The sequence below is a fragment of the Homo sapiens genome, chromosome 9 (assembly GCF_000001405.40).
Source record: "Homo sapiens chromosome 9, GRCh38.p14 Primary Assembly".
NCBI lineage: Eukaryota > Metazoa > Chordata > Mammalia > Primates > Hominidae > Homo > Homo sapiens.
The window spans coordinates 95,431,670-95,457,311 of NC_000009.12; the positions used below are offsets into that span (position 1 = coordinate 95,431,670).

The window sequence follows — 25,642 nt, forward strand, 5'->3', positions numbered from 1 at the left end:
TTTCTCATCTCTTCTATTGGCTCTGCTTCTCTGGTTGAACCCTACCTGATACCCTCTCTGAGCCTCAGCTTCTTCGACTGCAAATTGGCACTTCATGTCTGGCACACAGGCCTGCTCTAAAAGTTACATAGAGAATAAATGTAAAGCACAGTCCTTGGCAAAGACGTCAAATCTATTTTGGACACTATCTCTGCTCTCATCCTCTCCTAAACTTTCATTCTTAGGTTGGCAGGTGACTACAGCCCTGCCAGAAAGGTCATCTCAGAAACCAGTCCCTCCTGCCACAGAAATATCAAAATGGCCCTGCCAGCCCACAGTGATCCTTCCTGCCTCTGAATTTCTAGGCTGTGCTTACCCCTTCCTGAAGCCTGCCCCTGATCTGCCTGTTAGTATTATTTAATAATCTGCGACACAGCATTATGCATCATCTGTTTTCTCCAAGTTCTAAGAAGACTTTTACATATACTGGTTAAGTTGAGTCCTACTCAAATCTTGGCATAAGGTGCACAATAAGCTTTGGAAGCAAAATGTGTGTGTTAATTGGGCTCAAAGGACCCATCCTGCTCCTTCCTTCCTCACCCCAGCCCTCAGAACAGGTGGTGATGGGCGGGGGTGGAACATGGGGTGGACTAAATCCATGGCCACTTCAAAAACAAAATGGAGAATATCTTCGCACTGCTGAAGTGGAAGGTCAAGGGTCGGGTCATTCCTTAGGATGGTCGGTGCTTGGCTTTATTCTCGCCCTGTGCTTTCAGATGCCAAGCACTCCTATTCTTCCTGTGTGCCTCTCTCCTCTTTCAGAGCTGGACGTTCCCAAGGGACTACCCTGGTTCGCCCCCCTGAGCTTGTTTCCCCATGTGAGATGTGTGTGTGTCCATCTCTTTGCATGTGAGTTTAATGTCAGCATGGGCAAGAAGTTCAGTCTAATCTACACGGAACCCAAAAAATCACATTGGGATGCTACCTCATCCCTATTAGGATGGCTAGAATGAACATTCAGATAATCACACATATTGGTGAGGACATGGGGAAATCAGAACACTCTTACACTGCTGGTGATAAGATAAAATGGTGCAGCCACTGCAGAAAAGAGTTTGGTGGCTCCTTAAAAAGCCAAACAGAGACCCAGCAACTCCACTCCTAGGTGTACACCTAAGAAAATGGAAAACAAGTGTTTGAAAAAACCTGTGCACAAATGTTCACGGCAGCATTATTCATAATAGTCAAAAGGCAGACATCATCCACACGTTCATCAACTGATAAAAGATAAACAAAATGTGGATAGCCATACAATGGAATATTATTTGGACATAAAAAGGAATGAAGTGTTGATTTATGCTATCACATGGATGAAACTGGAAAAAACATTATGCTAAGTGAAAGAAACCAGACACAAAGAGATTGCATACTATAAGACTGCATTCATAGGAAACATCCAGAGCAGGGCAGAAAGTAGATTCATGATTGCCTAGGGTTGCACAGGTGAACAGGCACCGGTTGTGGCAGACGGGGCGGGGGGGGTGTGGGGGGGGAGTGGGGGGGGAGTGAGTGCTAAAGGGTATGGAGTTACTTTTGAAGGTAACAAAATTGTCCTAAGATTGCCTATGGTGATGGTTCCACAACTCTGTGAATATAAAAACGATTGAATTATAATATACTTTACATGGGTGAATTGTATGGTATGTGAATGATATCCCAATAAAGCTGTTAAAAGAACAGCAATGAAGAGAGTGGGGACACAATTCTTCAGCAAACACACAAACTCCTTTTTGATGACTTTTAAAATATCTACCTTACATGCAGAGTCCAGATGCTTCCCTAATTTAACTGCTAATTTAACTTCCCTGATTTAACTGCTCATCAGCAGATTACCCACCCCACTCACTGGCCGTCACCTCCTTTGTTTCCTATGAAGAAATAATACGAGCTAAGAATGTAGAACAACGTTCTACAGTAAATACTGTTTGGCACACAGTCAAGAGTCTATAAGCATTTGCTATTTATATTGTTATCATCTGGCAACACGGCCTGGTTTCTGCTGCCTCTTTAGCTACTCCTTCCCTCCCCTTCATGGGCTCCAAATTTTCTCCCTTCCCTCCCTCCCTTCCACCCTCCCTCCTTCCCTTCCCCTTCCCTTCCTTCCTTCCTTCCTTCCTTCCTCTTTTCTTTCTTTCTCTCTGTCGTCCAGGCTGGAGTGCAGTGGCTCGAGCACTGCTCGCTGCAAGCTCCGCCTCCCAGGTTCACGCCATTCTCCTGCCTCAGCCTCCCAAGTAGCTGGGACTACAGGCGCCTGCCACCACGCCCGGCTAATTTCTTTTTGTATTTTTAGTAGAGACGGGGTTTCACCGTGTTAGCCAGGATGGTCTGGATCTCCTGACCTCGTGATCCGCCAGCCTCGGCCTCCCAAAGTGCTGGAATTACAGGCGTGAGCCACCGCGCCCGGCCTATGGGCTCCAGATTTTCTTCCCTCCACTCCCTGAGCTCTGAGCTCCCCACTGTCTCTGTCTGCGCTCTCTTTGGGCCAGGGTTCATCAACCGTGGTTTCTATTCCCATTGATCCCAGGTCGACACCTTCTCCAGCGTTTAAATGCCACCAGCTCAAAACGAAATCTGTCCTCTCTCTGATGCCATCTGCTCCTCCCACTTCCTCATTCCAGCTGCAGGGCTCAGTCTCCTCACAGCTGCTCACCCCGCTGGGAACCTGGCGGTCCTGAGCGCCCTGCCCCTCCACCCACACCCTGACTCAGCACTCTGTCCTCCGGCTGCGGGAGTGCGCTGGCCGATGGCTCAGTTGAATCCTTCTTTGAGAGTTGCACTGTATGGAAGAGAAACGTGTGGCCCAAGATCATGTCTCCTGGTGGCCACCTGCATACAATGACGGGTCAATGTGAGGGCATGAGGCTCTGGCCTCCTTGCCCTAACCTGAGCCAACTCCAAAGGGCATCTCAGCTCCGCATAGCCTCAGCCGCATGACAATTTGACTTCCTCCACTGCGCAGTGCTGCTTCTTCACTCCCCCACAGGCGCTGACTTGGGACCACCCCCGTGTGCTCTTCGCGCACACAACGCTCCCTCTCACAGTCTGCTTCTCATGGAATCCATCCTGCAACACTGTCAATTGCCCTTGACTTTCCCTCTCTTCTCTGAATCATAGTCCAAAGCCTGCAAACATCTTACGAGTCTGTGACTCCCTTATCTGAAGTCCAGAGCCATGACTGAGTTTGGGTCAATCAAGACAAAAAATCTCATTCCAATTGCCCTGAGCACAAAGGCCTGTTAGAAAGGAAAGTTTAGCAGAAATAGATTTAGCTTTGGGTACAGCTTGACCCGGGGTTCAAATGATGTAATCAGAGTTGACTTCTTCCTCTTCCTTCATTTAATCTGTTTTCTGCTGTATTCGCTCCTTTCTCAGAAAAGGCCCCCACCCTCAATTCCCTTAAGGCTACAGATTTTTAGATTAAAGACCCATGGAAAAGCACATTCTATGTTTCAGACAAAGCTTCACAACATGTAACACATTCTGATTGGTCCATGCTCTTATCCTCAAACCAATAACGTTGGCCAAGAGAATGTGATACTCTTATTGGACTGTCTGAGTCACATGAACAACCCTGGACCCTGCGATGAAGGTAGCACTGTCTGAACCAAACAGACTGAGAGTGGGAAATGGGATGGTTCTTCTAGAAGGAAATTAGGTTATGGGGACCTGAATAGTGAGTGGATGTTGGGAAACATGTTTATGAAGAATAACAGGTTGCTTCTTTGTTTCCATTTTGCAACCAATATAAAAAGTTTCTATGATCTTCCCACTTCAACGTTCTCTTTCTGCACTTCTCATCCATCTGGTGGAGCTCTAAATCACAAGTACAATCACGTATCTGTTCAACAGTCTTCGAGAGGGTGTCACTGCTTTGCAAACAGATAACGGCCATTGTCTTCAGTTTAGCATTCAATGTCACCTTCTTCCAGTGCACCTTACATGGGCACTTCTTAACTTTCAGAAGATTAAGAATCTCCTGGAAGGCTAATTGAAACCCAGATTTCTGGGCCTCCAACCCAGAAATTCCGACTTAGTGGGGCTGGGACGGGGCCTATGTGTTTGCATGTCTAGCAATTTCTCACTTGGCACTGAAACTGTCAGTCCTAGAACCACACTCAGAACCACAGCTCATGGGTGGCATCTCTTCCTGCAAAATGGGCTGTTTGTTTTTCAGACACAGCTCTACTTTATTTTATTTTATTTTATTTTATTTTATTGAGACAAAGTCTCTCTCTGTCACTCAAGCTGGAGTGCAGTGGTACGATCTCGGCTCACTGCAACCTCCATCTCCGAGGTTCAAGCGATTCTCCTGTCTCAGCCTCCCAAGTAGCAGGGATTAGAGGTGCGTGCCACCATGCCTGGCTAATTTTTGTATTTTAGTAGAGACGGGGTTTCACCATGTTGATCAGGCTGGCCTCAAACTCCTGACCTTAGGTGATCCACCTGCCTCGGTCCCAAAGTGCTGGGATTACAGGAGCAAGCCACCGCGCCACGCCACCTCTACTGTCTTAACCTCTGGGACTCAGCTCAAGCTCTTCCTTCCTTTTGATAATGCCCTTCCCACAATTTCTATCTGCTGAAATCCTAGCTTTCAAGGCCAAATTCAAATGCCACGTCTTCCAGGACATCTTTTCTGATCTATCCATCCCTTTGAGCCTCATTGTACCTAATATACTCCTTCTTAAAAATAATGCATCGTAGGCTGGGCGTGGTGGCTCACTCCTGTAATCCCAACACTTTGGGAGGCCGAGGCAGGAGGATCACTTGAGCCCAGGAGTTCGATACTGAAACTTAAAGAAGTTTAAGGTTCTTTTTGTCAGGAACTGTCATATTCATCATTTTAGCCTGCACAGAACTTAGCATGGTGCCTGGGGCTAGGCAGGGTGCTATGCTCTGAGCTAGCTTCAGCATGAGCAAGCAGTGGAAGAAACCAGTAGCTCTGGAAACCGTTCCCATCGCGATCCTTTAGCCTGCAAACTCAGGAATCCATGGCTGCCTTTCCCCCTTACTAGCACTGCGATCTCTGGGAAGTCATTTAACCTCATAGAATTTAGCTTTCTCATCTGTGAAATAGGAATAATACTGCAGATGCATTGTAGGGCTCATTTTTAAAAATAACAAATACTGTCCTAAACTGAGAGTACTATGTTCCAGGCTCTCTTCTAGATTTTGGGAATAAGTAGTGGATACAATAGTAAAAAATCCCTGTCTTCCAAGAGCTGACATTATTCTAGCAGCATAAGAAAGAGAAACAAATACATTGGCAAAATATAAAGGATGTTAGATACTGGTAAATGCTGTGGAGAAAATTAAGTAGTAAAGGAAGAGGGGATGTGTTGAGTGGGGTGGGGATTGGATTTGCAACTTTTTTTTTTTTTTTTTTTGAGAAGAAGTCTCGCTCTGTCGCCCAGGCTGTAGTGCAGTGGCGCGATCTCGGCTCAATGCAAGCTCTGCCTCCCGGGTTCACGCCATTCTCCTGCCTCAGCCTCCCGAGTAGCTGGGACTACAGGCACCTGCCACAATGCCTGGCTAATTTTTTGTATTTTTGGTAGAGATGGGGTTTCACCGTGTTAGCCAGGATGGTCTCGATCTCCTGACCTCGTGATCCACCCGCCTTGGCCTCCCAAAGTGCTGGGATTACAGGTGCGCCCTCCCTGGATTTGCAACTTTAAACTGGGTGGTCAGGCAGGGTCCCAATGAAAAGATGATATTTCTACAAAGACCTGAATTTCATAAGGGAATGAACCACGTGTCTGTCTGGGAGACTGATATTACAGGTGCAGGAAAGAATAAGTGCATGCCCTGAGGCCGAACAGTGCCTGGTATGTTTGAGGAATATCAAGAAATAGCAGCGCCTGTCTGTACAGTGGCTAAAAGTGCCTATTTGGTTTGATGTGGAGATACCACGCTCCAGATCAGGGATGGCAAACTCTTTCTTTAAAGGACTTGATAGCAAATGTTTTAGGCTTTATAGGCCATGCGGTTTCTGTTGCAATCACTTAACTCTGCCATTATAGCTCAAAAGCAGGCCTAGACGAGACATAAATAAATAGGCAGAGCTGTGTTGCGCAAACTTTATTTACCAAAACAAGTTGGGTCCAGATTTGGCCTGTGGGCTATAGTTTGTGGACCCTACTCTAAACACATCTATCATGCTCTGATTTTGGACAATGAAAAGGAAATAGTGGAAAACATCAGTACATAAAACAAAGACGCTGCTTTTTAATGATCCATCTTTCTACTTTCACTTTAGAACACCGCCTTTCTCATTAAAATCACTTGGGTGGTGTAGTGAGAAATGCCTGCCCTTGCCTCAATTCTTCTGACTTCTTCTAACTCAAGTGTGGCCCTTTCCTCTGTTCTTCTGAGTTCACCTCCATAATTCTTTATTTCTCATCCTCGCTGCCCTGCCCCATGTCTTTCTCATCTTTTGTATTTCCTCCTGCATCTTCGCGCTCTTTCCTGCTCATTTCTAGTCTCTGCCAACATCTTATTTATTGGGTTCATCTAGTGAGAGAAGCTATAGCATGGCACATATTAAGCAGGAAACGGTGGCTTTGGTTATCGGTATTACTGCTACCCAAGATGGGGTCCAACCATCAGTGTTTTTATCATGGACAGATTTCTATTGGCATTGCTGCTGAGGGGGAGTGTCTTGGTGGAGTCAGGGAGAGAGGACAAGCCTTAGGGAGAGGGAGCGAGAGTAGAGAGGAGGGAATTCAGAAGGGGTCAAAGGTGACAGGTCAGGACTGCCTATGCATGTGGATGTGTTTGGGCAACCGTGTGCATGCATGAAGTATGTTTTACAGCCCAAAGTGGATACTTTACAGCCCAAAGTGGATTCTCAGCAGCAGAAGAATAATTCATATATTCAGGCTTCCTTCCGTACTTACACTTTGAAAATCCCACCTTAATTGTGTGTGCCTTATGATTACAGACCATTAGAGACCATTGGTAAATGAACTATGCAATTTCAATTGTGAAATGCACACTCTCTTGTGAAATGCAAACCTGGTTTCACATATTAATTGCTTCTAATTAAGGAGGAACATTTTGGCCAATTAGCTTTTGGAATTTAAGTGGAATCAGAAGGATAATTCAGAAATTTGCTAATTGCTTCCTCCACTGCAGCTGTTTGCCTTTAGAGCAAACATATACCATCTGCATGATGCTGCACACACACAAGGATGGCTGAGAGGCTTGGAAACTCTTGCTAGAGTCGTTGTGTAGACAGCAGTCACCATAATATTGGAATTAGCAACATGAAACAAACAGGGAAAAAGATGAGGACACTAAGAGAGAAAAACATAGGACTGGACTCCAGAGATCCAGGTTCTCAAGCTGACCCAAGGGCTGGGGCTGTTGGCTAACACTGGACATGTCATATCACTTCTCCAGGCTTCCTGGATACAAGATGGCAAAGGTCTCTTACAGCTTATTCATGACGAGCTTCCATGATTCATGACGAGCTTCTATGATTCATGGTAACCTACCATGCCGCCATGTAAGTGGAAGCTGTGTGGGAAAAGCAAAAGCATCTATTGACAAAAGGGCCGAGTATGCCTGTCGACACGGCACGGTCACAATACAAGGATTGGGGCTGGCCACTGCTCTTGCAGTCCATGGATTTTTTTTGAAGGAGAAGGTCTTTGTTTCTTGGCACCCTTCCATTTTATCATTTTTCATACCTCTTCCCTAATTTCAATGGCCTTTTCCTAATTTTGGTGGTAGGTTGGTCTTTTCCCCAGTATTGGCCTCACTTTCTGGATGTCTGACCCAGTCCTCACCGACGGATAGTTCTGCTCTCACTCTTAAACCGCAGCAGAGAGCCTGCTGGTGGTCTCCATTCCTGCCTTGTCTTGCTTCTCCTCTCCTCTTACTGCAAAATAGGCTCTCAACACAAGTCCACCGACCACTGCTGCTGATGGAGGTCTATAATTACCAAGAGGGTTCTTTGGCATCTTGACTTGGGCTTCATGCTGCACTCCTCATTATTACATAATAACTCACCAGTTAGAACTTGCTCATCAATCCCTCTCCCACTACAGGATTTTTTTCCTTATAAGAGTATAACAGGTTATTATCTACCTTCCCCCTCTCCATAACAATACAAGCTGTTGTCCTTTCTGCATCTCGAGGTGGTGTTATTATCACTGGTTCCTGCCTACTCTGTGGAAATTCCCTTTTGCGGGGGCAAAAGGAACAGGGCCCTTCTGGTGAGAGGTTGTAGAGAGAAATAATTTTGTCAAGAGAGTGTTTATCCTGAGAGATGGTGTGTTGACTTAGGTATTTCGTGTGCTTGCTTTCTTCTTTGAAAGCAAGCACACGAAATTTGCCTTGTTGGTAGCTTACATCACATTCCTATATCTTCAGCCTCAAGCCCTGTGGATGGGAAGCAGAAAAATTAAGACAACACTCTCCAGGAAAGTGGGATGCACTGTGGACCCTTGAATAACATGGGAATTAGAGGTGCTGATCCCCTAGCAGTTGGAAATTCATGTATAACTTCTGACTCAAAGACCAACGCTACTCAAAGACGGGTAGCCTACTGCTGACCTGAAGCTTTACCCATAACACGGTGACTAACACACGCTTTGTATATTACATGTATTACATACTTATTCTTAAAGTAGAGTAAACTAGATAAAAGAAAATGTTATGAAGAAACTCATAAGGAGGTGATAAAACATATTTACTATTCATTAGGTGGAAGTGGAGCATCACAAAGGTCTTCATCCTCGTTGTCTCCATGTTGAGTAGGTGGAGGAGGGGGAGGGGAAGGAGGGAGAAGGGGGGAGGAGGGAGAAGGGGGGAGGAGGGAGAAGAGGAGGAGGAGGAAAGTGAGAGAAGGAAGAAAAACAGGGAGGGGGAGGAGGGAAGGCAGAGGAGTTGGTCTTGCTGTCTCAGGATTGGCAGAGGGGGAAGAAAATGCATGTATAAGTAGACCCATGTACTGCAAACCCATGCTGTTCCAGGGTCACCTGTGAGACCTGCTTGCGTGATGGTGCTACCACTGTGGATGTGGCTGTGGCTGTCTCTGCAGGGTGGCACTGCTTGCAGAGGGACGACTCATTCTCAGGGCAAACACTGTCTTGACAAAATTGGTTCTCTCTACAGCCTCTCACCTGAAGGGCCCTGTTCCTTTTGCCTCCCTGAAAAGGGACCTCCCTGAGAGCGGGCAGGAATCTATGATACACATGCCACCTCATGGTGTAGAAAGTGCACGCTTTCTGTATGTGCTTCCCATGTGCACCAAGTTTGATTTGGGTCATCTCTATAGTTCATCCTTCCTGAGGCCCAGCGTGTTCCTGACACGCCAGAATATCCCTTCCAGATCCTTATGGTGGCAGTCGTTGGAATTTCCTGGCAGGGAACCCTTGCAGAAAATGGTACCTGACATGCCCTCCGTCACGACAGTGCAAAGGATGAAACAGATTCATGTTCAAGGCATGTTCTCATTATGCGCAGCCTTCATTAAAAGTAATTAAAACTTGGCAAATACTCATCTCGGATGATTAATAGACCATCTCCACTTCTCCTTTTGGGAGGTCGGTTACCAGTTATCAAAAATGAAACACCTGCCTTTACATCAACGTGCTGCTGCCGAAACGTAGCAGGACGCAGCTTTCACAAAGCTGTTACATACATCTGTTGTGCCAAAAAAAAAATGGAGCTCTGTGTTGACCTAAGTCCTGAATAAATATGGTGGATTTGGGGACACAAATCTGATTAAAAACTTCTCCCTAGGCCAACATGGTTAAAAACTAAGTTAGCTAGTTAGCTATGTGTCATTTATAAGGAATATAAAATTGGATGGTAGCAAATGGTCATTTTGGTGGTATTAAACGTGTCTTGGGGAAAGCATGTCCCAATCTGAATTCCAATTAATGCAATTACTATTTCCCGTACTCAGATTCAGGGAGAACATATTCTCTGTGGCTTAAATGAGCCAAATTAGCTGTTATGTGTAGTATTAAGGAGGACAGTGTATTACCTGAACATCTTATTCCTTGGTCAGAATTTACTGTGCTACCTCAAATGCCTCCCAAGAGGGGCTCAGTAAACATGAACTATTCCCATAGCAGCGCCCATTGTTTCTATGGGGAGCCCTTGTCATCTTCAAGATGGGAACCCTGAGGCAGAGCTGGTGATTGAACTGGGGTTTGGAGTGGGGTCCTCAGGATGGGGCTGTCCAATTCTCACTCAGACGACTCCGGCCAGCCCCTGAGATCCAGACCTCGTCACCAGCATCACTGCTGCCACCCTTCAGAAGTTTTCAAGGGATATTTATCTCTTTAATTTACAGATGAGGACACACAGGCTCTGGGGTTTTAAGAGACTTGCCCAAGCCAGTCAAGTGGGTGACAGGGAGCCCTCTCCGTGGAAGGGCCCGGCGTGGCTCCCCCTCCCCTCTAGGAAAGGGGCCCACACTCTCCTTCCAGGTCCTCCCTCACTGTGGGGTGAGCACTAAGAAGGGAGTTCCTCACTCTGGACTCCCAGACGTAACAGTCAAGCTCCTGGCCTGGGCTCACCCACAGAGGAGCATGTGTTTTGTGAAAGGACCACACAGTGGAGTCGGTATCTCTGTGCCATTTCCAGATCCGGCCCGCACTGGCCCAGGAGCCGAAGCCAAATGATAGAACCTGGCCACACTCAGCTGGAATTTCGGGATCGCCTCCGCTGGTGCATCACAACCACCAGGACAGATCGTTAAAGCAGATTCCTGGACCTCACTCCAAGATTCTGAGTTAGGTGGTGTTGGATTCGGTTTTTCTAGCAAGCTTCCAAGGCAGGCTGATTCGTGGACCACACTTGACTAGCACTGGCCTATGTTACCTTGTCTAGAGATGGATTGGCAGGTGTCTTACGGCCAGATAGTAAATATCATAGTCTCTGCAGACCATAGTCTGTGTTGCAGCTACTGAACTCTGCCGTTGCAGCAGAAAAACAGCCATCAACAACATGTGCGGCAACAGGCACGACTCTCTCCTCATGAACCTGTGCAACAGGACATGGCCAGCCGGCTGTGGCTCACTGACCCCTCTGCAACTTGCCCATGTGCACAGCAGTGTGGGCCTTGAGTTCAGCCCCACCACTCCTTGCTTACACAGCTGTAACATGGACATGATATTCCTGGCCATATTTTTCTCCATGCCTATGATGAAATCATTGCTTACCAGGAAACACTCAAAAACTGTTCTGTATCAGGTTCAATCAATTCCATATTATCTTTGACACTGTTTAGAAGTATGACACCTTCACTGATGATAATCATCTTTGAATTTGGCTTTATTTATGTTCCCTCATTATTAGGCATCACATAAGGGAAATAAGTATGCTAAGAGAGATGACAGAAGGACTAATTTTGATGGTTAACTTAGGAAGTTTCTTGGTATGAGAAAACAAAAATAGGGTCAGGTGATAAGAAATTAATTAATGGGTACAATGTACACTATTTGGGTGATGATCACACTAAAAGCTCAGCCCCCACTTTGTAATACATCCATGTAACAGAGCTATGCTTATACCCACTATTTATACAAAACAAAAAGGAGGAAAACCTAAAACTCTCTCCATCAGATAGAGCAAAAAAGAAGAGTGTCACAAGGTCAGCAAGATGAAACAACAGTTTCTGATGGCTCCAACACTAACTGTCTCTCCCAAGTATTTTAAAGAAAAAAAGCATTCTACAAACAAAGATATAACCAACAAGTTATATTATTTTTTATTCATGTTAGAATTTCTATCAGTGTTTGAACATTAATTATTTAGAGAGTTTGTACATTTTCACCTTCCAAGGTTTGAAATGAGAAGCATGCTAGGTCGCCAATGGTAACTAATAAACACTTCATAATCGCATGAATATCCACTCTGCTCTGACTCTCTTAACACTGTTAAACATTTTCTTTCCTTGCTGTAATTTACAATGAAAACTGTGCCCACTCATGTCTCAGCAAAGTTCCAGACATTATGGATTCATCACATATAAATTCTTTAAAAATATACTTCTGTCAAAAGACTTGATGACTACTATGTACACTACAAAAATAAATCTTCATATAAATAAATTATATGGCATACTTTTATCTTTGTAATTGAAATGACACAAACTCATTTCCACCAAAATTGGCAATGAGACCCAGTTTGAATATTTATTTCCTTTAAACTCCTTACCCTAAAACCTACCATGAGTCCTTAATGTAAATGTTATATACTCTGAACTATTTAACATTAGTAAGCACTCTATACAAATAAAAATTCTGTCCAAAAGTAAAACATAGCTGTAATGTTTCCAATAGAAATAAAATCCCTGCATTTTTTTTTGTTATAAACTGGCATGACAAATACTGTAGAGGAAAACATTCTTATGATACAAAATTATAAATATCAGCAAAGTTTTTTTTTTTTTAAAAATTAAAACATCCAAATGAACAAACAGGACAGACAAAATAAAACTATTAAAAGAGAGAGAGAAATTCTAATTCCCTGCCAGCCCCACCCCCCGCCCACCCCAGTTCTCCCTTTGCCAATGTGACTATTGGAGAAAGTTCTACACCATGCAGAAATCAGGGGCCGCGCAGCCTCCGGCGCAACACGAGCTGGGCTCAGGAAGGGAGCGAGGGCACGCCAGGAGCCAGAGGGAAGTCGACTTCAGAATTCTGCATCATCCCTCCTCCACGCAGGACGTTTTCTGAGCAGAGCTGGGTGTTAGGATGGCAGACCATGTGGGTGACAGGCACCAAGACAGCAGCAGGGGGGTGGCCAGGGTCCCCAGCAGAGACACACACACACGCACGCACGCACACACACACACACACACCCAGCAGCCACAAGCGGCTCCCAATCAGCATCTTAAAAGTTTTGTGGTGAGTATCAGGGTCTGAGGTCACTATGCTGTGGGTATTTCTGGGGGCCCATTACCTTTCTGTTAAGATTTCCCAGGTAATTTAAAAGGGAGTAACAGGAGCTGCCACTCGTGAGCGCCTCACAGTAGCTTAGGCTTCAGCCCTGCAGGGACCCCGCCCTTTCCTCTGACTTCTTGTCTGTAACAAGGTGCTGGTGTGGATTTGGATGGGGAGCCGACACTGGGTGCTTCCCTGACATGTGCTGGTCTCTGGTTACGAGATGAGGGAGCCCACACCTCAGAGCAAAAGAAGAGAACCAGTACAGAAGCAACTTTTAAAAATATGCCTGGTTGAGAGACCTGCCCCTGCCTACATCTTTCAGTGGGGTGTGTCCATCCTCCTGCTTTCCCACATCACATTGAAAGAGCACTAATGACGGGGAGGATGGAGACAATGTTTGGATTTACTTAGGAAGCACGTACCCTAAACACTGGTGCATGAAGAATCCCCCCGGAGCTCTTATCCTACATAATGCCTGCCTCTACACCACAATGCATGCTCACCACTTAGTTTTAAAGAAGATGCAAACAGATCTAGAAAGCCTCAACCAGCTGCTCCATTTAAGAGAGGGAGTTTAAACTATAGGGACTCAAAACATCATTTCTGGGAGACTGTGGGCCAAGAAAGAATTAACTAAATAGGTTTTTCTACCTGTGACAGGGCCACATCCACTCTTGAATTTGGGGGTGTTGGGGGAGGGGTCGTGTGTGTGTTGGTCAGAAGAGGGGCACCATGCTGCATGCTTTTTAGAGTATACAGACTCTCATGGCCCAGCCAAGGCTCAGCACTAGGCATGTCACCGAATTCTCTAACACCCACCATGATGAACTGATGTGAGCTCCATACCCTGAGGTTCCAGCATCCATCACAATGATCCGAGAGAAGGAGATTATCCCCCTGAAGCACAAATTGGGGTCCTGGATGGCAGCCAATGATCATAAGAGATGCCGTAGACACGAGGAGAGTCTAGCTTTTGCCGGGCTGATTTGAAAGGATTAGGTGGATGTTTAGGGCCAGCCCTCACCAGCACGAAGAAAAGATATCCTGACGCTTCCAGCCTGACTAGGTCAGAGCCTACTACAGGTTACAGACAGTGTAGAGAAACAAAACAAGACAAAAAAAAAATCACAGTACAGTACATGGTGAACTCACACACGTGTTCACACGCACAGCCAAACAAGAGGACCGCACACAACGACACCTAGAGAAGCCACCAGGATTAACGTGCTTTCTTCATATCTGCTCATTAAACAAAAAAATTATCACGCATAGCGTGTTTGAAAGTTAACAGTAACATTTCATACTACCACAGGGTTGTGATATGCAAATTTAAAATATTTTAAACAGAAACCTTTACAAAATAATCCTATTACATAAGCAATATTTGCATAGAATTATACAAGTAAATTATACAATATTTAAGCAGCAGCAACATATGCTGAAATTTAAGACTAATGAAGCTTGGTTGTGGCACGGAGCCCAATGCACAAATACGGAGAGGCCCCACTGTGGCCTCCACACTCTGGGGCAGGAGTGGAGAAGCCCCAGATCATACCACTTTACATCCTTCCTTCCTATATTACACATGTGTACATCTCTTAAATATTTATAGAAATATTTAACAAAATAATACAATCGGTTACAGTAACAATGAACTGCTGTCCTGGCACAGGGCATCTTTTCCATAACTCCAACCAGTTCTCTTCAAGCAGTTCTGGAAAGAGGTGGGGGTGGGGGGTTTCCAATCTTTGGCCTCTTTGCTTCAGATTTTAATCACCCTTTAAAAGGAAGCAAAAAAGGAAGTTGAACAGAGTAAGAGGTGTGCAAGTCCGTATTTATAAAGTACAAAAGCAGGCAGCAGTAACCTTGGTATTAGAAATCACGAGAGTGGGGTGTGGGCCTGAGGTGTCCCTGGGGGCTGCTTGTGACCTCTCCCTTCATCTGGGGGCTGGTTACACGGATGCGTTCCCATGTGACCAATTCGCTGTGGCATGCACCTCCATAAAGACTGGCAAATATTGGTAAAAGGTGGTGCTGTTTGTGTCCTTGTGGCGCTGCACCGACCCTCCGCAGGTTAGCAGTGGGGGAAGAGAGCAGTGTGGAGCTGGACTGGTTCCCCAAGGATGACAAAGCTTGGACACATCAGCCTTGCTCTGGGGATAAAAGGTCACTGGGGTCCAGCGTGGGATGTGCCCGAGCGCCACAGCCCCTCGGGGATGCCGAGAACCCCAGGAGAACCTTGTCCTCCTCTTTGCCTGGCTCTAGGTCCCTTGGCTGCCCTTGTCAGTGGCACTCACCTCAGTTGGAGCTGCTTCCCCGGGGCCTCTCCTCGCATTCCACGTCCTGCAGCTCAATGACTTCCACCTTCGAATCCCTCCTCTCACACCGGACGTGGAAAGGCACGTGGGGGTCCTCAAACAGGCCGTGGTCAGTCTCAGGGTAGCCTGGGCAGAGTCCCCCTCGGGGGTTCCGCCCAGGCCCAGGGACAGGCGGCGGGTGCACGGCGACAGTCACGGAGGCAGAAGCCGTCACAGTGGTGATGGGCTGGCAGTAGCCGGGCACGGAGCTGCCCATGGCAGTGGACGCTGGGTTCCGAGGGTTGTGAGAACGGGCCCCGCGAGGGCCCCAGCGGGCCCTATTGCTAGGGCCAGAATGCCCTTCAGTAGAAATTTCAAAAGCGTCTCTGCGCGGTCTGTAGGGGGGTGGCCACAAGCCTTCTCTGGGGGGGTCCCTGCGGGGCTGCTGGCCTTGCCGTCCGGGAGGCAGGGACCCTGAGTCCAGGTGGGGCTGCTGTCTCGGGTTCGAGGGTGGGTGATGCCTGGATTCGGGATGGACCACCTGCAGAGGGTGAGGGTGGGTTAGAAGGGTGGTATCCCAGGCTGGGCATGGTCCCCGCAGCTCCCACACTTCCCTCCTTGGGTTTCACCAAAGACTCAGTCAACCCTGGGGAGCCAATGGGGGCCTTCCACCCACAAAAGAAAAGCCTGTCCTTCTAATAACCTCCAGGACCTGGCGGAGGAGCGTGTTGTTTGAAAATCCTGTTTCCAGGCTTTCTCTGACACGGCTGGCTGGACACGTACTGCTGCTGCCCATAAATGTGGGCTGTGGTCAGAGCATCCAAGCTGCTGCCCCCCACAACCTGCCCCCGACCCTGTTAGGTTCTGCAGGCTCTGAGCTGCCCCTCTCCCGAAGTTGCTAAGTGTGCGGCCCTGGCTGGCCTGAGTGCAGGACGCTGGCAGGACTGTCTCTGCCTACTCTGTCAAACACAGTAGCCGCTCCAGACATGTGGTTGCTTAAGTTTTAATGAACTAAAATCCAAAATCCAGCTCCTCGGTAGCCCCGGCCACATTTCAAGTGCTCCACAGCCACGTGTGGCCGGTGGCTCCCATCCTGGAAAGCAGAGAGGGCATTTTCGTCACTGCGGAGGGCTGTGGCGGGCAGCCTGTTCCATCTGATTGTTAAGAATCTGGTCTCTGCGTCTCTATACAAAGCACAGAGCAACACAGTGGCCACATCAATCAAAAGGACCGTGACCAACTTCAAAGTCGTTCAGCTTGTACCTATTTTTAGGCTCCTGCTGAACAAAACCAGATTCACACTGCAGCTCAGCGGGCGTCGTCGCGGGGGGTAGGAGGAGGACAATTCAGGTTATTTGGTTGGCCTTTCTCTCTTTCACGGAAGGGCTGCTCTGGCCTGGGACTGGAATACCCATTTCCTGGAGGGACAGCAGGGGGCCCTCAGTGGAGCAACATCAGCCCAGAACCTTCCTTGAGTTTTCAGGGCTGAGCCCATCCCAGGGAGCACAGGGTGGAGGAAAGGACCCAGGTCCTTGGAGCCTCCGAGGAGGGGCTCCCAGGCTCCTGGTGACCTCCTGAATCACTGAAGGCTAAGAACTCAGGGGTGGTTCTTGGCCTCTCTGCTCTTTCCTGCCACCTGGAACATGAGCTTGGAGCCCCAAAAGCTATGGTAAAGTATTTAGACAATAATAATGAATGTTGTATCAAGGGCATTGAAACCTAACAGAAATGAGAGAAGGAAAAAACCTGACCTCTGTTGGCAATAAAAATACTACTAGTTTTAGAAAATATCACTCTCAAATGACATGCACCTTAAGAGGAAAAAAAAAAAAAAGGCAGGAATGCTTTATCTCTGGCCTTTGAAGCCCAAACTGTCCTCACCCTGAACAAGATAGATGCTACTGCTTTGTGCAGTGACATTACTGGCCCCTGCCCTTTTTATCCTTTATGAGATCAAACCACAGGAAGATGGCATTTGTATAGTTGAGAAAGAGTTAAATACTGGTTATTTCCTATGATTTGACCTAGTCTGTACCTTATCTCTGCATCCCATCTGCCTGTGTGATGTGCTGCTCAGCAGACAGGAGCCCCCGCTGGACCTCCAGGCCCACTACCACGGTGGGAAGACCCCTCCCCCTGGTTCTGCAGAGTCACTTACAGTGGAGTGGGCGAAGACGGGGTTTTCTGTGGCTTCCACGATCACTTGGTGGGCAGGGCCTCCCGCGCCCTGCTGGGCCTCGTAGTGCCGAAGCTCCTCGCTGAGGCCTGACACTGTCGTCTGGGAACTATACTCCGAGTCGGAGGAATCAGACCCGCTGTGCGTGTGGCCGGGCGGCATGGCGAAGCGGACCACGCTGGGGGGTGGCTCAGGGGAGGGTGTGGGCAGGCGGTTCAAGCCGTTGGCTGGAGACACCTATTTAAGGGGATTCCATGTTAAAAGTGTTCTTGTCCATTTACCTGCTGGCCACACTCAAAGCTCAAAGCACGGTATTTTTCAGGGGCCTCTGTTCCCTGCCCTGGGGCCCTGCGCACTGTGCCGTATTAACCTCCCCTTCTCTACCACCTGGAGGACCTTCAGGTCCCGCAGCTGGAGCAGAAGAACTGTCCTCTGCTCCACACTGGAAAGGCAGGATGTGTACTTTTTACTCTTGTGAAGTCCAATTATGCATCTCAAGGGGAAAGTCTTCATTTACTGTATAAAGATCTGTAAGACCCAGGCTGCCAATCAGTTGATTTAGAGGAACCAAACCGAACCCGCCCTCTAGCCCTCAAAGCCAGTACACCGAAGAGGAAAACAGACATGACTCTGAGATGTTTACTGAAGAACCACCAGCAAGTGGGGAGGCACCTAAGTATCGAAGTGAAGAGCGGCACAGGAAACACAGCATTCAGCCGGCCTACACGTGGGACATCCCCGTGTCACTACTGACCTCAGGATATGGTCCAAAGAAAGACAAAAGCACGGGAAGCAAAACCAGCCCATTGAGAACGCCGAGGATGGTGAGGATCGCCAGCACAGCAAAGAAATACCTGGGAGATCAAGAGGAAACGGGAACACGCGCTGTGACAGGGTGGATCGCGCCACCCTCCGTGTGCCCGACACAGCAGCATGGCAACGCCAGAAATGAACAAAACCCACCCCACTGAAAAGGCTGTTATCCAACCGCAGTTCACATTCAACACAAGGTGAGTTTTTGCTTTTTGTTTCTTTACCTTATGACTTTGAGGACTACATTCCACAACCCAAAGTGTTAGTTCATGAAGGGAAGAAAAAAAAAATTAGTTTGTTAATTTGCTGAACTCTGATGGCATGTAATGTTATTTATGAATGTGTTACACAAACACAAAAATATGGAATGCGACCTGAATGGCTGGGCAGACTGAAAGCACAAACACAATGCCGAGGGGCCCCGCTCGTGAAAACCCAGCAGAAGCAAACAAATGAAGTGAAGGGTGTAGAATTTAAACAATTTAGCCCAGGAGGAAAAGCAGCCCACTTCTGCAGGCTGCTAATCCACTGTGAAATGCTTCTGCATCTTACGGCAGAATCTCTAATTAAGTCTCTAGCATATCAGGTAAGGCTTTCCCTGGCCTTTCATTAATCACAACTTTCTGCCTAGAATTCTGTGAGTTCCAGTTTTACCAAATAGCTCCAATTGCAACCTTTTTAGAACACAGGAACCAGCTTTCTGCAAAGAAAATGCTGCCCATTCTGTGGGAGCTGGGGCATTGTGCTGGGTGAGGGCACTCCACAATGGCGGGGCTGCTCTGCGGGCCAATCTTTTGTTGAACAATTTAGCATCTCTGAATACTCTTGTTTTGCGTCAGCCAATTCAAACATAAAGGCCGCAGCACCATGGCAGAGGAGGAGAGTGCAGAAGTAGTTCTGCTTTCCCACCATTGAGGGCTAAGGTCTGGAATCCTTCATGAATACCAAGGTAAACCTGTCAGCCAGGGACAGCCTCTGGCAGACACTCTGCATGGCTGGAGGGCACAGACTCCACGCAGGGATGCGTTTCTGGAACTAATGATTTCTAGGGCAACTCTGATGGAAGTGGGCTGGGGTAGGGGAGAGGCTCAGGATGTTCTGGGAAGGGGGGGGCAAGATATCTATCTGTTAATGGTCCTCTGGTTCATAAAATGGAACAGGCAACCAGTGCTGCCATGTCTATATATGTTTTGACATCAGATGAAAGGAGAGAGAATCCCCATAAAAATACAAATACCTCACAGCTATTGTAAACACTAGAAACTTCTGAACTACATTAGTAAAAACCAAGCAGCCAATGTCTTGGTCTAATGTAAACTGCTGGAACTTTCGGCTGGGGCATGTATCAGCAGCCACATTAAGACATTTGCATCCCATCCATCTAGCTGAAGCATAAACAGGCCAATTAGATTTCTGACGGCTTAGCATATACAGTGTCTGCTCATTTATTTGACCTTGGTGAGGCCTTTATCAGGTTAATCCATCCCATCCTAGAAAATGGGAAGCCCTTTTAAGTGCTTGAAAGAGGAACCCTGATATTTCTGGGCGGGAACAACCCCGGCTGAGAGGAGAGCGCTGGGATTCCAGCTGCCAGGTTTCCAGCTGGGGGCTCTAATTCAGGCTAAGTTTCCTCATTCAGCATCCCCCACAAGGCTGAGCGAGACCCTCCTGTAACTCATGAGACCCCAGCACACCTTGCATTTCCCCTGGTTTTGCCTGTGAACTTGTCTCTCCCCTAAAAGACCTTAGGCTACACAGAGGGATATGGGGGTCCCCATTATTTGCTGTTGTGCAAATGGCACTTATGGGGTGCTTGTTATATTTGTGTTAAACGAGAAAGTAAATATGCAAAAGAAACTCTACTTGACATTGAGCTTTTATATCATAATGATAACGTTAGTGCCTGAAAAAGTGTATACTAAGAACAAAGGAAAAGCTAAAATCAAACTAAGAACTAAAATAAAACACAGACCAAAACATTTAACTCAGTTGGGCAACTCTCTACTTGGTATTGGCAAACAGGAATTTAGGAACTGGCTTGCTGGCTTAGCAGTAGTTTGTGCTGAGAAGTCTAGCTCCATGGACATTGCAGGGAGGTAGCTGGAGATGCAGACCCAGCCCTCATCCCACCTCCCGCCCCCCGAAATCGGCCCTGCACTTAGACCCTCAGATGATTCCTCAGCACATCGGTGTGAGAAGCGCTGGTCTACAGCGATTCCACTTCACCATTCACTCTATGCAAAAACTACAATAAGCAAGCTTGGCACTCATTCTAAGAAGGCGGCCTCCATGATGCCAAATTGCCCAGTGGGCTATGCCACAGGCCAACCAATGGACTCATCTCTTTCCCGTAATAAAACTTTGGCTAAAACTTCTAGTTGAAACCCTCTTCTTTTTACTTGAAGATAAGAAGCGTATCTCTCTCTCTGACACACACACACACACACACACACACACAACCTCTCAGTACTGAAGCGTGCCAAACAAACCAATCATTTCTCACATCTGGTTCTGCCCTGTCATGGTTCTAATCCTGGACTATCTTTTACTTATTGGTGATTCTGGCCTTAGAGCTCCATAAAGTAGCAGAGTTCTATCCAAGAGCAGGTCCCTCACAAAGCCATGGAGGCTGCTCAAAGAAGCAAGTGGTTTCCTCCTCTGCAGTTCTCAAATTCTTTTCAAAAGGAAAACTCACTGTTCTTTTATATTTCACAAAGTCATATTCTTAATTAAATCAACTGGAAACGACTTGCCTTGAGATCCAAACTAGGCTTAGATTCCCAAGAGTTGACACCAAAGTCCAATGCTAAATGCTTCCTAATTGTGGGGACTCGAATATGAAATCTGAGCACGTCATTTTCACTTCTTAAAAGAATAAAGTCAGGTGACAATTTTAGGTATTTTTAAGTTTTCCTTTCTACAGTTTGAAGGAGAGGGAGCGTAGGTCAAATGTGGCATTTCTTTCTGCAGTGTTTCTAACCCGAGACAATAATGGGCCACCTATTGGGTGATCCTTTGGCTTCAAGCTGCAGAGTTGTCTTTGCTGCCAGCCCCAAATCCTTTACCTTCTGTTTTCAAGATACTCCCCAAGACAGCTCTAGAAGAGAGCTTGTCTTTATACCTCCGAATATCTCTACGTTAACAAGTTCAAAAGAAAGCAGAGTCACGATGACGAGGTGCTGCAATCTACCAGATACAGAAGGAAATAAGCAACGAAGATCACCTGAGCTAATAACAATATTTTTTTTTTTGAGACAGAATCTCGCTCTGTCACCCAGGCTGGAGTGTAGTGGCGCAATCTCAGCTCACTGCAACCTCCGCCTCCCGGGTTCGAGCAATTCTCTGCCTCAGCCTCCCAAGTAGCTGGGATTACAGGCACCCACCACCACGCCCGGCTAATTTTTGTATTTTGAGTGGAGATGAGTTTCACCATCTTGGCCAGGCTGGTCTTGAACTCCTTGACCTTCTGATCCACCCGCCTCGGCCTCCTAAAGTGCTGGGATTACAGGCGTGAGCCACTGCACCCGGCCCAATCACAATGATTTCTAAAACATGTCTCCTTGCACACGCCTGCTTACCTGACAATGAAGTCGAACTCAGATCCCGCCAGCATCAGCACTCCCAGCAGAGTGGACACGGCGCCATCCAGGACGGGTGCAAACATGTGCTCCAGGGCAAGCACAGCCCTGCGGTTCTTGTCGCCGATGGCCGTCAGAAAGGCCTGTGCAATGAGGATGTTCACAAGATCAGGTTGCTGGACTTCACCTGGTAAATGCTCAGCTCTGTCCTAAATGTTACAAGCTCTCAGAACTGCTCACATCTTACTGTTTTAGTTGCTAGAATGTGTAATCAGAGTAGCTCAACTAGCAGCACCTAGACTTAAACTAAGATGACCTCTTCATGACACTGGGTCATATTTGGTGTTGACGTAAATCTTGAACACAGTAAAATCAAAACTATATAAAAATGGACAGAAATGTCCCCTTCTTTTCACTGATACTCACCCCGAAGTTTCCCCCCTCCTTAAATGATCTCACACCACTCACACGTGAGACCTCCAATTCCCACAGCACAGGATTCTGGCTAATGCATTGGATGGCTAAGAGCTTAGCTCAGTGTCCCAAGCAATTGGGTGCTACACACACTTCCTCACGATTATGCAGAGGTGAGACCTTCTGTCACTGTTTCAGGCTATGTTTGTAGTACATCTAAGCACTATGAGTGTATTGCAAGAAATACACAGGACCGTACATTTGAATCAAGCCCTTCTGAACATTGTGTGGACACATCCCTGTCTCTCCTGCAGTCCTAAAGCTCTCCTAGGCCAGAAATGCTGTTGATAACTAAACGGGAACTTTGCAGAGTAAATTCTGGAAGATCAGACTGTTGGCCTGAACGTGTGACCCCTGCAGGGAGTGTTGAACCTGGCACAAGTTCTCTCTCTGAAGTTCAGGCTGCTCTGGATTATGCCGAGAGGAGAGGGCTGGGTGTCTTTGGCAGGATGCGTTTCTATCCCTTACCTACCTGCAGAAGGACTGAGACGGTCGTTCTCCTTAACAGATGAAAAAATACAAATATACAAAGGTGTGCTAAGAGTTTTCATACTTTTCTCTCAAACAGGTTCTACTCTTTCAGAGTTGGTAAAGACATTAGGGTCAATATAGCTGCCTTCTGCTCTTGGGGCAAGGCACCAAAGGGGTTTTTCAGCCATGCTGGCTTGCATCATATTTGGGCCATGAGGCCATAAGGGCCTAGTTGTGACTACCCTGTCACACACTGTTTCTATGTTACTGAGACAGCAAATGAACGGGAACCCACTGATTTCCTAAAGACATTCATGAAAGAAGACTCTTCTTCACAGCCTTATTCTACCATTTTACAAACCTTGAAAGAGCAATAACTGCCAACTCTAAATGCAATTTCACATAGAGGATCAGAATACTGAAAATGACTTGGACTAGAAGTCCTAGAGTTTAGAGACTGCAGTTAGCATTTCCATGGTAAAAATCTGCTCTGGGATACCCATTTGCCCTGCTAGCTTCCAAAAAAGGTGGTTTCCATTTGCATCAGAATAAAATAACTTATGGATTCTTAACTCACATGCAAATTTATCTCCCTTTTGAAGAACTGTATTGGAATTATGGGTTTTCTAAACTCTAGGCTGGCACTCTTCTTTTTAAAAAAATAGTCCCTCCTCCCAGCTCAAAGGAAGAAAATAATTTGAGCAGGCTCAAAATTTAGAGAATACTGTTGCCATATTATTGGCTTTTTATGATACACTGTAAAAAAAATGGGATAACTTCAACAAAGCATTCCTTCCAAAACACAAAAGTTTACAATCTCTCAATTGTATCACAGTAGCCCTGGAAAGACTGCAGAAGGCACAAGGCTGCAGCCTATGTGGAGACATGCATGTGCCATGTGCTGAGCCCAAAGGAAACCTGTGCTAGAGATTGCAAAAGCAATGGCGGAAGTGATTTGGTCAAGCCCAGTGCTGGCTTCCTAGCTAGGGTATTTCGCACGTCGATATTTAACAGGTGAACGCATTTACTTATTGAATGCCTACTGATAACCCCAAGTTCTTAGGCTCTAATCTGCAGACAGAACATAATTTACACAGTTGTGATGTTTTGGATAATTCTTTGATAAATGTATACAACAGATTTATCTCTTGGACTAAAGATTCCTTCTGAAGTTTAATTACCTCCAACAAAGCATTCACAGGGCAAGATAGAGAAAAAGAGAGGGAAAAAAATGTCTGTTGAAAGCAACACTGGTTCTCTTACTTTCTGCTATCATGAATGTAGAGGCTGGGAGGTCTGAGGAACTGGGTGGGCTTAGGTAGAAGAGCCAGTTCCCCGGGGCTGAACAATGGAGCCTCCACTCCTAAGCCCGAGGGTACTTCCTTGGCTGCCAGCTCACCTCATCCTCAGTGATGCCATCCCCAAGCCTGTGAGTGTGGTCTCATTTTATCCCCACTGTTCCTGTTGTTTTTAAAACTCTGTGTATGCCCACCCACACACTCACCACATAATCCGCCTTATGAACAAACGTCACAACGTCAGGAATCGTGGGGGTATAATGACAGTCAAAGTCAGGTGAGCACGGCCCTTCAAGGCCCACTCCAACACACCAACCCTGCACTGCCTACGGCTGACAGGGCCCGCTGCCATGTACCTTCCATACCCCTCTCCTTAGCCTCCCTTGAGGGAAAGGAATCCAGAAATCTTGCAGGCTCTCCTAGGGGGCCCCTGTGCCCTGAGGCCTTTTCACTGCCACGCACAGGGAGAATGCAAGGTTCCCACTTGGAGACAAACAGAGCCAGAGGAAATGGGTTGTTTTTTCACAAAGTTTTTGCTTCAAATGTCTCCCATACCAAAGCAACGTGAACGGTGAACTCCACTCCTATGCCAACAGAAGCGATCAGGATGACCACGGGCACGGCACTGAGCTTGATTCCGATGAGGCCCATCATGCCGAACAGCTCGACCGTCATCAGCGCCAGGACCATCACCTGGAGCAGGGCACACAGTGGTCAGTGGGCGGGCAGGTCACCCTCTGGGGCTGCCCACAAGGGAGGTCGCCAGAGGGCTAAGGTGTCCTCGGTTCAGATCAAAACAATGAATGGACTGACTTGCTTTAACTCTGGACACTGCCTTTACTGCCTAATTCATCTTCCCGCTGGGAAGGGAGACTGTGGGACAGCTGATGTGTAAAGCTGTAGAAGGCAAAGTAGAGTGTTCTAATGCAAATTATTTTCCAATGTACCTTCTCCAGAAAGCAAAAAACATACAGAACAACTCCACCAGCGCAATCCACGAGGAATTGCACAAGCATGGCCGCATCACTTAGCTGCGAATTTCACAGTTTACAACAAGACCCATCTCTCCTCCTGCTTGGGTCTCAGCCGCCAGAGACCATCCGTGAACCCATCATTAAGTTTTTGGTTGCCTCACTCTCCATTCTAAAGAAAGCTGATAGGACGGGGTGAATAAAAGATTTGCAGGTCAAAGTAGTTTTGCTTTTGTGAGTGAACCTGCAGGCTAAGCAAAGATGATGTGGGGGCCAGGTAAGCGGGGAGGTCGTCATCAGCTGACGCTGTCAGGTTACAGGAGCCCTGCACTTTGAAGAGCTGGGGACAGCTGGGGTGGACTGAGCCAACTGTTAAAATCCAAGGAAAAGCTTCTTGCCTTTCATCTTCCTTGTAAAAATTTGTGGGGAAATGGAAATAAAATCTGTGAGTTAGATTTGGAGTTTCTTGGTCCAAAGCGGAGAAGATACAAATAAACAACAAGTTACCAGATGGAAGAGAAGGAGAAAAATGATCTTTCTTCTCTGGGGGTGGGTGGTGGGCAGAGGTGGAGGGAGGGGAAGGAATGATGAAAGATGGACAACATCAATTGCTAAGTGCC

The 25,642-nt window shown here is 46.9% G+C and overlaps 1 protein-coding gene across 9 annotated transcripts in view, besides 3 other annotated features; it reads right to left on the reverse strand.

The window, feature by feature from the left end:
- Nucleotides 2,162–2,734: an enhancer, noted in NCBI's record as "H3K27ac-H3K4me1 hESC enhancer chr9:98196113-98196685 (GRCh37/hg19 assembly coordinates)". NCBI's record gives its function as "activates a minimal SCP1, AML or CMV promoter by ChIP-STARR-seq in primed H9 embryonic stem cells {active_cell/tissue: H9 hESC(primed)}" and the evidence as "EXISTENCE:reporter gene assay evidence [ECO:0000049][PMID:30033119]".
- Nucleotides 2,735–3,306: an enhancer, noted in NCBI's record as "H3K27ac-H3K4me1 hESC enhancer chr9:98196686-98197257 (GRCh37/hg19 assembly coordinates)". NCBI's record gives its function as "activates a minimal SCP1, AML or CMV promoter by ChIP-STARR-seq in naive and primed H9 embryonic stem cells {active_cell/tissue: H9 hESC(naive and primed)}" and the evidence as "EXISTENCE:reporter gene assay evidence [ECO:0000049][PMID:30033119]".
- PTCH1 (patched 1) overlaps nucleotides 11,311–25,642 on the reverse strand; it is a 73,992-nt gene continuing 59,660 nt past the window's right edge. For all 9 annotated transcript variants that reach the window (NR_149061.2, NM_001083603.3, NM_001083602.3 and 6 more), the window contains 6 exons: nucleotides 24,607–24,744; nucleotides 21,809–21,951; nucleotides 18,172–18,271; nucleotides 17,400–17,654; nucleotides 15,242–15,782; nucleotides 11,311–14,722 (listed from right to left, as the gene is read on the reverse strand). Coding sequence is in view for 8 of the 9 variants with exons in the window: in NM_001083603.3 (NP_001077072.1) it covers nucleotides 15,243–15,782; nucleotides 17,400–17,654; nucleotides 18,172–18,271; nucleotides 21,809–21,951; nucleotides 24,607–24,744 (1,176 nt within the window). In the remaining variant the exon portion in view is untranslated. The remainder of the gene's footprint in view (nucleotides 14,723–15,241; nucleotides 15,783–17,399; nucleotides 17,655–18,171; nucleotides 18,272–21,808; nucleotides 21,952–24,606; nucleotides 24,745–25,642) is intronic.
- Nucleotides 15,878–16,862: an enhancer, noted in NCBI's record as "NANOG-H3K27ac-H3K4me1 hESC enhancer chr9:98209829-98210813 (GRCh37/hg19 assembly coordinates)". NCBI's record gives its function as "activates a minimal SCP1, AML or CMV promoter by ChIP-STARR-seq in naive H9 embryonic stem cells {active_cell/tissue: H9 hESC(naive)}" and the evidence as "EXISTENCE:reporter gene assay evidence [ECO:0000049][PMID:30033119]".